This window comes from Homo sapiens, chromosome 5 (assembly GCF_000001405.40).
Source record: "Homo sapiens chromosome 5, GRCh38.p14 Primary Assembly".
Classification (NCBI taxonomy): domain Eukaryota; kingdom Metazoa; phylum Chordata; class Mammalia; order Primates; family Hominidae; genus Homo; species Homo sapiens.
In genome coordinates this window covers 15,919,586-15,932,116 of record NC_000005.10, presented here as the reverse complement: position 1 = coordinate 15,932,116, position 12,531 = coordinate 15,919,586, and the positions used below count along the sequence as shown (strand labels likewise).

General features: G+C 41.7%; 1 protein-coding gene across 5 annotated transcripts in view; it reads right to left on the bottom strand.

The window, feature by feature from the left end:
* FBXL7 (F-box and leucine rich repeat protein 7) overlaps nucleotides 1-12,531 on the bottom strand; it is a 439,614-nt gene that overhangs the window by 7,677 nt on the left and 419,406 nt on the right. For all 5 annotated transcript variants that reach the window (NM_012304.5, NM_001278317.2, XM_017009262.3 and 2 more), the window contains one exon: nucleotides 3,616-4,227. In NM_012304.5, coding sequence (NP_036436.1) covers nucleotides 3,616-4,227 — 612 coding nt within the window. The remainder of the gene's footprint in view (nucleotides 1-3,615; nucleotides 4,228-12,531) is intronic.

Genomic DNA, 12,531 nt, shown 5'->3' with positions numbered 1-12,531 from the left:
CTTTTAAAGGCCAAAATGACCACTTAAAACTTTGACACGCCTGTGTTCACTTAATTACAATGTCATAAAAGTGCAAAAATGAAATATGACATATTTCTGCCCTTATAAAGCTCAAAGCTCATCATGAGTTGAGAATTCCAAGTCCATCAATGCTCTAGCTTTCTGTACCCAAAAGGCAGACACCCAGAAAAAAACCCTTAGCTCACTGGGGGTGAGCCGGGGAAGGCTACATTCAGGGGATGCTTCACTGGAGTTTAAGCAATGAAAAGTCTGTTCAGAGAGTTCTCGAGGAGGGGCAGCAGGCAGAGGAGGGAGAGGGACACAAGCCAGAGAGGCATGCACACATCATCGTATGCACAGATAGGATGTGTTTTGGGACATGCAGATAAGATGGTTCTACAGAAGGGAGCATTGCGTGTATGCAGGAAAGAGATGAAATTTGCACCTAAGAAGAGCATCTTATGAAGGCTGTTACGTGCTCTGTGGAGGAACTTGAATTTTTCCTGTAGGTCATAGGGAGCAATTATTGGAGGTTTCATGCAGGAAAGTAAATGGTTAGACTTGTAGTTTGAAACAATTCCTCTGGAGGCCATGGAGATGGGTATAAGAAGGAATGGCTGGGGAAGTCTGCATCCAGGCAGGCAGACAGAGATGGACTCAAGGTACTGGGGAAGTAGAGTCACCTGAACAGGACTCTACTGGTTGGGTAGGATTAGGGGGAGAAAAAAGGATGATTCCAGGTCTCCAGTTAGAGAGGTTCTTTCTGAAGCAATATTATTTTTAACATTTACCACATTTTATATTTTGAAAATTGGTTGAACAAACCTATGGGGTTTCTTCAGTTGATTCCAGATTTCATACAGCTTTCACAAATATGTTCTTTATTACCACTTCCTCTCGTTATTGCAATATATTCATCAATATAGTGCAATGATGTTTAATGCTACTATTAATAAAAGGTAATATGTGATAATGACAAAACAATACAGTTGTAGTCATTTTCAGTGACTTTAAAGATAGCTTCCCAGATGAGCATTTTCTGCATGCTAGGGATAGGATAGGCAGTCTCATCTCCTTTGGGAGAATTAAGCTCTAGACCAGTGATGAGTCTTCCAAAGTCAAGTCTACTGCCACTGAGAATGTGGCCACTATCGGGGCCCAGCTGTAAAACTAAAGAGAACCAGCCATAATGAAATCAACTGTGGCAGCCCTCTGGCCTCTCTGCATCAACATAACAATTTCCAGATGCCCTCAGAAGAGGAGGGCACCCTTAGTAGGTGCTGATGACAAATCCATCCTCATGGCCTGTTGAGTCTTTCAAGACCATCTATCTGAAACTTTCTCCCATATGTGGGATTCTGTGTTCTTAACTTGGTGAGCTGCAGATTCCCCTCATTTTTATCTCTATGTATACAGATCACTGTTGTCATTGGGAGACATGAGGGGAGGCTACACAAATATATTTGAACTTTCAAAGTAAGCAGGTTAACATACAAGACAGATATCAAGGCTTAATAATGGTTAGTCAAGGGGCCAGGCAGGACCACTAAGGCTAGAAGCGCAAGAATTTCCATTCCCAAATAGCAAAAGTGGTTTCTGCATTTCTGAACTTCAAAAGGACCCTCCAAAAGAGGGTACAATTACTTGCAGCCTGTATTAAGAGTGCATGGGAAGCACCTTTTACAAAGATAGGGATTCCAAAAATGAATCATTTTCTAATCTAAGAAAAGAAAATGAAATGTTTATAAAATGCTCCAATTCTTAGATGTTAAAGAACCCAGTCCTTCGCCATTTCTTTTAAATGAAGAGGAAACACATCTAGAAAAAGCTGTGAACTTTTCTAAATCACAAAGTTTTGAAACTTGTTTCCACCACATCACAACATTTTCTCTTTCCAGAATTCCTTGGAGGAAAAATGTAAGAAAACCTCCTGGTTTCCTGCTTCTCGATGCCACTGGCTACTCATGACTAACTGAACATATGGCTGCTATGGTTTTGTCTTGAAGCCAACTGAAGTAGAGGAGCAGCGAGCTGCTCTCCAGCACGGGAAAGAATCTGCAAAAAGTAATGGGCTGTCATCTGAAATATTTTCAGACGTCGGCTTTCGAAAGAGAGAGCAAGCTGAGAGCCGGCTTTAGCTGGGGTTTTGTTGGAGGGCATCACTGGCCTCAGATGCTTGTAAATCCCAGATTCTGTTTGTTCACCCACCATAGTGTTTTTTACTTCTTGACCCCTCCCCCAAACTCCCTGAGGTTGCTGGTCGTGCTGTTGGTTTTAAGTCCCTGATGCATCTTACACATTTCAGCCTCTCGAATGTTCATCTTTTGACTAGGCAGCAAATGAGATAAGGAAGGGCTGTTAGTCCAGGCAGATCATGTCTGGCGCCTAAGTGTGAGTCTGGGCTTTAATTCTTCCTGCCTGAGAGAGGTTTCCAAGCAAAGCAGCCATGCTGGGATTTCCTTCGATTTTTCTTTTTTTTTTTTTTTTTTTTCAGAGACAGGGTCTCACTCTGTCCTCCAGGCTGGAGTGCAGTGGTATGATCATAGTTCACTGCAGCTTCGAACTCCTGGGCTCAAGCAATCCTCCTGCCTCAGCCTCTGAGTAGAATAGCTGGGACCACAGTCTCATACCACTGTGCCTGGCTAATATTTCCAGTTTTTGTGGAGAGAGGGGTCTCGCTTTGTTGCTCAGGCTCGTCTCTAACTCCTAGCTTCAAGTAATCCTCATGCCTCAGCCTCCCAAGTGCTGGGATTACAGGCGTGGGCCTCTACGCCCGACTTCCTTCAATTTTTAAAAGCACTAAAGATTTAATTCAATGGACCTTGCCCTTGCACTGTGTAATTGAGAATTTTGCTTGAGAAAAGATGCAGGATTAACCCAGATGTAAGAAGAGTGCTGGTGAAATCTAAGGAGACACTACAAAATGGCAAGTGATCATGAGCACAGCCCACAGCTGAGTGTTTTATCACCCACAGTGGGCACCGTCTGGCCCGTGGTACGAAAACACACGAGGTCATTTTTACAGCTTGGACAAAGATTCCAGGCTCCAGGGACCAACAGCAGGTGGGCGCGAGGATAGTTTCTAAGCTAACTGTGCTTGAGTTAGCCTTTTGTTTCCTATTTCTCTACACTTAGATACCCTGTTTGCACTATCTATGGTTGCTCTGAAGTAACTGTGAGAGTTATGAAGAGTAAAGACATTTAAAAGTCGTACTAACCTCAACTCCCAGGCAAAATGTGCCAGAATTCCCCTAAGAACTCCCGTAAGAAGTGGAGATACACCTAATGTTAAATGACGAGTTAATGGGTGCAGCACACCAACATGGCACATGTATACATATGTAACTAACCTGCACGTTGTGCACATGTACCCTAAAACTTAAAGTATAATAATAAAAAAAAAAGAAGTGGACATTATTTGATGAAAGGGAAACTTGTGGCCTCCAGGGTCATGATTCCATAGAGACAGTTTCTCTGCAAAAGCCAGCCTCCCTACCACCCGCCCCCATCTCTGATGGCTTGCAAGAAGAGGACCCTCCGGTGGTGGCACTGTCCCCACTGTTTTAGGATGGTGCACCAGGAGGGCCCATAGCTGGTAGGTCAGTGTCCATTTACCTGACACATCCAGGTGCTCCAGATTAGGGCAGAGGGACACCACATCAAAGACGGCCTCGTTGGAGATATTGTAACAGCCTGAGACTTCCAGTCGCCTCAGTTCGGGGCAGCACTGGGCGATGGTGTACAGCCCTCGGTCTGTGAGCCGCCTGCAGCCACTGACAGTTACGGTTTCCAGCATGAGACACACGTTGGGGGTGTCCTGGCAGAGTCTGCGGGTCAGCACCTTGAGGGCGCGGTCCACGTTGATGGTCTCGCCCGTCAGGCGGATAGTCCTCCAGAGCCGCGGGTCCCAGGCCAGGTTGTACCAGCGGCGGCACACTCGCGCGCAGCGGCACAGCTGGTTGGTGGGCAGGAAGGAGAAGATCTGCACCATGGAGTGGTCCGGGAGCCGGTCTATGCTGGCCTGCTCCTTCTGGGGTCTGGAGGCGAGCCGGATGAGCGGGTGTGTGAGGCGGGTCGGGGGCGGGGAGTGCACCATGGCCACCGTCTCCCCGGTGATGGAGGACGAGGAGGTGGACGAGCCCCTTCCATTCTGAAATCCTGGGAGATTCGGTGGACATATCAGGGCTGGGCTGGGCGTGCTCAGTGTGCGCATGCTCAGGTCGGAGTCTGGCAAAGGACAGAGAACAAAGGTTAATCATGATGGCCTCAGCAGAGCCCCAGGGAGGCAGCAAAAGCACTGGTTTCTTTCTTTTCTTTTCTTTCTTCTTCTTTTTTTTTTTTTTTTTTTTTTTAAGATCTTGTCGCCCAGGCGGGAGTGCAATGGCGTGATCTTGGCTCATGGCAACCTCCGCCTCCTGGGTTCAAGCGATTCTCCTGACTCAGCCTCCCGAGTAGCTGGAATTACAGGCATGCGCCACCACGGCCGGCTAAGTTTTTTTGTATTTTTAGTAGAGACGGGGTTTTACCATGTTGGCCAGTTTGGTCTCGAACTCCTGACCTCAGGTCATCCGCCCGCCTTGGCCTACCAAAATGCTGATATTACAGGTGTGAGCCAGCGTGCCCGGCCAGCACCTGTTTCTTTCTTAGAGAAAACATTCATGGGGGCAACATTCTCATTCCACAGATGTCCTCCCTGGGCCGACTCCTGCCAATGCCATCCCAGAGGACCAAGCACATGCACGTGTCGCCCATTCCAGAAAGCAACAATTCCCTGTGGTCTGCACCAGGAGTGACCAGACTGCAATGAACAGGGTCAGATATTAAATACTGAGGCTTTGCAGGCCATGGGCTCTGTCCCCCTTGCAACGACAAGCCCTGCCACTGTTGTGCAAAAGCTACCACAAACAGAGTGTAAACAAAGGAGCGTGGCTGTTTTAATAAAACCTAATTTATAAAAGCAGACCAGCTGGACTAGTCCCTGTCTAGACCAGGGAACAAATCCCATCAGGTCATAGTTTGACAACTTCCAGTCTACATGAACGGGGATTACGGTAGGGCACAACTTCAAAGTTTCATTGTTTCTATTCTGGAGAAACCTCATATACTAGATACACAAACTGATTTACCTCCCTAATTATATTTTGGTTAGATGGGTGATTATGTTGCATTTACAAATGAGGGGAGTGAGTTTCAGAAGACAGGAAGAGTAGTGAGTAGGCGCAGAGGACACCTGCTGCCTTGGCTCACTTCTCCCAGTGTCTGCTCCCGTTTCTGTTGAAAACAGTGCCCCAGACAAGGGGAGCCAATGAAAGGCCTCTGCTAGCTCAGGCATTACACACAGCATTTCCAGTCCTTGGGTAACTGGAAACATGTTTATTTTTTCTTCTTATTAACAACCTCCCCTTTGCATTTGAATAGTATGAGCCATATTCTATTCCTTGGAACTAGAAAGATCGCTGATAAGGACACAGCAGTTTTAAAGTTTGTGAGGGATTAAGAATTCTTTAGAATGCCACTTCAAGAAGTAGGCTCATTTCCTCTCTCTTTTTCTCAATATACACAGAAGAATTTAGTCTTTCTCTCTAAATACAATTGCATATGATATATTTTTGATATATATAATATCCAATGTATATTATATATAACCATATACATGGTATTATTACCATATATATCCAATGTATATATGTATTATTAGATCCAATATAATATAAATTTTGTATCTACATAATATACATTGATATTATATAATATATATTATATAAATAATATATTTAATAATATACATTGGATATTATATACAATATACATTGGATATAATAATACATATATACACGTTGGATATATATGGTAATAATACCACATATATGGTTTTATTTAGGAAGAAATGTATTTTCTCTGTTAACATATTTATATATTTTACATATTTTACACACATACATATACCCACACACATGAAGATACTCCCCAGCTTACTATGGGGTTTTCGGGCCATAAGCCCATCATAAATTTAACATATCCCAGGTTGAAAATGCATTTAAAACATCTAATCTGCCAAACATGTTTGCTTGTCCTAGCCTACCTTAAATGTGCTCTGAAGGCTTACAATAGCCTACAGTAACAAAGTCATTTAACATAGAGCCTATTTTATAATGAAGTGTTGAATATCTCACGTGACTTATTGAATACTGTACTGAAAGTAAAAAACAGAATGGTTGTATGGGTACTCAAAGTACACTTTCTACTGAATGTGTATCACTTTTGTACCGTCATAAAGTCTGAAAATTGTATTTAAGCCATAGTAAAATCAGGAACTATCTGTATAGGTATGTATCTATATAGCTACACATACATATCCACACATAGAGCATTTATCTTCAAAATACATATTTCCTCATCTATAAAATAAGTGAACTGAGCTAAACAATTTCTAAGTCATTTCCAGCTCTAATTATAGTTCTCAAGATTTAAACAAAAGCTCTATGCTTATATGCTTTTGCATATTTCATACCCTGGAAATTAACACTCATACCATCTTCTCAAAGAACTTCCAGCAATAACATGCAATACAAAAATTTCTGAGACCTGAAGTCTCCCCCTACTTGTAGTTTTCTTACAGATCTCCTTTTTCTATCGCTGCAATTTTTCTGTTCAGTTGCTTGTTTATAACCTAACACTGAGAATGGCTTATGTGCATCCACGCTGTGCTCATGGAGCATCTTTGAATTATGTGCTGCCCCAACCTCCCATGTTAGCCTCTTGAAATACAAACACCTTTCTTGAGTAGCTGCAAATGCCATCTCCTTTAAGAAGTTTTCTTCCTGTCTTTGGGATAGGATCCCTTCCCTTGTGAAGCCCCCACCCTTTGTTATACAGACATTTGTGAATTTATCTTTTCCAATGTGGTTGATTGTATTATTTTTAACATATTAGCATTACCATTCAATTCAAGACATTTGCGCACCTGCTATATATTTTCCTAATTTTGCATCCCTCCCTGTGTCCCCATATCCTTTGTCATATGCTTTGCAGTTCACCTCAGACAGAGTATATTTCCTCATTCTAGTGACATAGGGCTTGTCCATGTGACTTGCTTTGGCAGAAAATGTTAGAGGAAAGCCATTTGTGCAGCTGGCTTGACCTCTCAATCTTCTACCTTCACAGTGAGGAGAACATGCCTCACTAGCCCCTTGCAGGCACAGTGGCTCATGCCTATAATCCCAGCCCTTTGGGAGGCTGAGGTGGGTGGATCACTTGAGGCCAAGAGTTTGAGACCAGCCTGGCCAGAATGGCAAAAACCTGTCTCTACTAAAAATACAAAAATTAGTCAGGTGTGGTGGCACACCTCTATGATCCCAGCTACTCAGGAGGGTGAGGCACGTGAATTTTTGCTTGCACCCAGGAGGCAGAGGTTGGAGGTTGCAGTGAGTTGAGACTGTGCCACTGCACAGTGAAACTCTGTCAAAAAAAAAAAAAAAAAAAAAGAATAATGAGAGACCCGTGAAGCAGACAGAACTTCCTCCAACCTGTACCTTACAGACAGGCTCAACCAAGGCCAGCTTGGTTCAGCCAATACCCAGATGAACCACAGATGCATGAGCTAGCATAAACAATGTTTTTAAACACTGAGTTTGGGGGTGATTTTTTACACAGTATTACTGTCGCAACAGATGATGGACATACCTTCTATTACACTAAAAACTCCTTTGAGACAAGGATTACATCCTTTCCTTGTTTCTGTCCTGGCAGCACCTGCCATTGTTTATGATATATAGTAGGTGCACAACAAACATCTTGAATTGAATGGAAGTATATGTTAAAAAATAATTCCAGCTTGGCATGTATTTTTCTGTTCCAGGTGGTATACATGCTGCATTTTAAATCGTTCATAAGAAAAGAAATCGTACTTCCCTTTGGTAATCATCTAGAATGAATAGCAAATCTTTAAGGAAAATCTTAAATATAAACCAATTTTGGACTTCAAAACTGCCATCCAAGTTACCATGGTACCCACCTTCATTATTATGAGTACGCAGAGATTTATCGCTGAAACCAGTGTTTCTTGGAGGCAGGTGAACAACTTATTTTGGGCCAGGAGGGAAAGACAATCCTAGGCTCTCAGCTCTGACATTTTAGCAGCTGTGAGGGCACAGAAATCCCTCTCCTGCCTGCCTAGGTTGTATTCATCTTGAAGCAGAAGACACTACCTGCCTAGAGGTGGCCACTGAGGAATGAAAGATACTTACCCTGTGCATGGGGGCGGAGGGGGGAGGGTGAAGTGGATTTCTAAAACCTGTCACTCTTTCATACTCCAAGCGCTTAGGAAAGCTGGATGTCTCTTTTACCAGAAGACACACCAAGAGTCTCTGATTCCTTCCTGCTATTCCTACAGCAGGCCAACAACCTCAGGGAACTTTTGAAAAGATGATTAACAATTTGTCTCAATTAAATAAATAGTACCTGATAATTAAAAAGATTATAAAGCATGACAAGTAAAAAGTACAGAGATGCATACCTAGAAGTTGTCACAAAATATCTTTTCTTGATATTTTCCACAAATACATTAAATGTATTTCCAAATTTAAAAATATACATATATATGTATTTACATTTGAAAATAAATTTTGTTATGGATAAACTATGAATAGCTTGTCATACAATGTGTTTTACCCTTTGATATCAGGACCTATTTACTGTCACTAGATATTATTATAAAGAGTACCAGAATATGTCTCTATAGCAGGAAAATAAAGCATGGCTTCAAATTCAAAACAAGGACCATTTCTATCTCCTAAGTAGTATATTTCGTTCACAGAAGAGAATGTAGAAAGACCAGGTGTACTCTTTGTACACAGTTTTTTTCTCCTACGTTTCTTTCAGAAGACTGGCAGCTAAATGGACATTGGCAATAGCTGCTGATTCTTCTGAGAGTAGAAACAGGGACCCCGATGCAGGGGTACCAGGACACACACTCAGAGAGGAGAACATCAGAGACAAATATTAAGATGACAGAGGTAGAAGAATTCTGCAACCCTCCTCCTGGTCTTACGACATTGCAATACAAACTGACTATATGTGCTGAAAGAAAATAAAGCTGACTATATTTGAACTTAGATTATGGATTTAGAATATTTTGTAGGTATGAACATACTTTCATGCCTGAATATCTATTCCAAGTGAATTTCCATTGATCTGATGTCTTGGTGCAAAATTGCCATTTATCTTAGTAGTAAGATGATATGCATTGGGCTAAAATACAGTTTAGCAGTAACACTAAGGGGATATTATTGTTAATTTTAATGTATTTTACATTTTTATATACATTTATATGAAAATTAGCTGTTTAGACTACATCTTCCTTCACTTTTCCTTTAGGCAAGACGGTGAGATGCATGAGTGGTAATTGGAAGAATGCTACAACACTGCCAGGAATTATTCTGAACAGGGAGAGTGAGATTTGCAAAAAGTGCCAGTGAAATATACATGGTCAAAAGCTTCTATCTGGAATTAAATTAATTGCTGTCTGCTTTGCGTGTCCTTAAATTCTGAGAAGGCCTTTTGGTAACTGAAAATGGGGATTGTGGTGAAACTGTAGCATAGTTCCCCTAAACGCCTTCCTTCCCTGCAGCTTCTGTTCTCCGAGGTGGAATCCTTATCACCAAGGAGCAGATATCACCCACAGCATCCCTGGCAAGAAACAATGCAAAGCAGTATACATAAAAAGCTCTTGATCATTTTACTTGAAGATAAAATATTCCCTGAAGTATCAGGAAAAAAATGCCCCAATTTTTAAGACAGCAGTACATTTTCATAACACATAAAAAACTTCCAGAACATATGTAGAGCAGGTGCCTTTTTAAAATCCACCAAGACCTCTAGATCCATCTATATTGTGGAAAATGGCAGGACCGCCTCCTTTTTAATGGCTGAATAGTATTTCATATATATAACATATATGATATATGTATATATTATATACTAAATAATATTTCATAAATATAAAATAGTTTCTTTACCCATTCATCCATTGATAAACCCTAGGTTGTTTCAGTATCTCGGCTGTTGTGAACAGTGCTGTAATGAACATGGGAATGCACATATATTTACGAGCTGGTGATTTCATCTCCTTTGGGTATGTGCCCAAAAGAGGGATTGCTGGGTCATATGGTACTCTACTTTCAATTTATTTAGACAGCTCCATACTGTTTTCCATAATGGTTGCAACAATCTAGATTCCAAGGGTTCTCTTTTCTTCACACCCTGTCACACTTATTATCTCTTGTCTTTTTGATAACAGATCTCCTAACACGTGTGAGGTGATATTTCACAGTAGTTTTGATTTGCATTTCCCTGATGATTAGTGATATTGAGCACCTTTTCATGTACCTGTTGGCCACTTTTATGACATCTTTAGAAAAATTTCTATTTAAGTCTTTTGCTCATTTTTAAAATTGGATTATATGTTTTCTTGCTATTGAGTTGCATGAGTTATTTATAAATCTTAGATGTTAGCCCCTTATCTTCCAGCAGGCAGTCTTTGAGCAAACTTTTTTTCCCTGGGAATAATTGCATGAATTGAAAATGAAATCTGTTAAAGGTAAACTCAATGAGTTACTGTGTATTAGCGTGGATGGGTGGATGGATGAATGGAGACATGGACAGACAGATCTGAAAAGGTAAAAATTATAAAATCTGCAAAAGGGATACTGCTGGTTGATTTTTTTTTTTTTTTTTTTGAGATGGAGTCTTGTTCTGTCACCCAGGCTGGAGTGCAATGGTGCCATCTCAGCTCACTGCAACCTCCACCTTCCCAGCTGAAGTGATTCTCCTGACTCAGCCTCCTGAGCAGCCGGGACTACAGGCGCACACCACCACACCTGGCTAATCTTTGTATTTTTAGTAGAGATAGGGTTTCAGCATTTGGCCAGGCTGGTCTCGAACTCCTGACCTTAAGTGATCTGCCTGCCTCGGCCTCCCAAATTGCTGAGATTACAGGCGTGAGCCACTGTTCCCAGCTAATTTCAAATATAAGACTTGAAAAAGGCAACAATTATAAAATCGTAAAATTTTATTAAAATTATAAAATTTCCTCTCGAGGAAAGACAGAGGAGCACACTACAAGTGTCATGAAGGCAGAATGGGAGAATTTAAAGGAGAAATGACCACACACTTTTGCAATAGGATGTATATTTTGTGGACTGTCTCCTAATGATATCTAGTGTATTTTGTGATTTAACTGTCTCCCAATGATATCAGAAAGCTGAATACAACCAAAAGACACAAAAAGAACCAAAGAGGCTGAGCGTGGTGCCTCACACCTGTAATTCCAGCACTTTGGGAGGCTGAGGCAGGCGGATCACCAGAGGTCAGGAGTTTGAGACCAGCCTGGTGAACATGGTGAAACCCCATCTCTATTAAAAATACAAAAATTAGCTGGGCATGGTGGCAGGTGCCTGTAATCCCAGCTACTTGGGTGGCTGAGGCAGGAGAATCGCTTGAACCCAGGAGGTGGAGGTTGCAGTGAGCCGAGATTGAGCCACTGCACTCCAGTGTGGGTGACAGAGGGAGACTCTGTCTCAAAACAAAAAAAAACAAACAAAAAATAACAAACCCACATTGATGTCTGCAGGAAGATACACAGAGTAGATGGCAAGGAATATACAGCAATAGACATTTGGCATTAAAATTCAGTAAACTGCACTGCTGCAGATTTTTGCATTACAGATTTACAGGCAAAAGAGACCGTTTGTTTATTGGATCATTTAATATACATTGTTACTGCTGCCCAAGTGCCCAGTTTGGTCTAGAAAGGGAGGAGTCATTGCATTTAACTAGATTATAAAGCAATTTTTTTTTTTTTGAGATGGAGTCTCGCTCTGTCATCCAGGCTGGAGTGCAGTGGTGCAATCTTGGCTCACTGCAACCTCCGCCTCCTGGGTTCAAGCAATTCTCCTGCCTCAGCCTCCTGAGTCGCTGGGATTACAGGCGCCTGCCAGCATACCTGGCTAATTTTTGTATTTGTAGTAGAGATGGGGTTTCACCATGTTGGTCAGGCTGGTCTGGAACTCCTGACCTTGTGATCTGCCCACATCAGCCTCCCAAAGTCCTGGGACTACAGGCGTGAGCCACCATGGTTGGCCTAAAGCAAATATTTTTACCCCACCTCCTTTCTGCACCATGGTCCCATTAAAGTACCTCCACACAACTGTTCTGACATCTCTAATTTCTTTCCTATGTCCTTCAGGGTGAGAGAAAAATGGCTCTATGGTGAGAATGCCTCCAAATCATGCAAAACCCAGCATGGTAAAGAATAGAATGGTTTGTGCAAGTCTGAGAAAAAAGTCAGTTTTCAGAAGTCCAAGATGAAGACAATAAATATAACGTTTGAATTAAACAATATTCTTAGTGAACTTTTGGATTTTCTCATTATAAATGTAATATTTTCTTGACACAATGATGATCCTTAACTCAAATATATGTAACCGTACTTTTTTATGTTAATATAATCATCTGTTGGCTAAACTAAGAGAC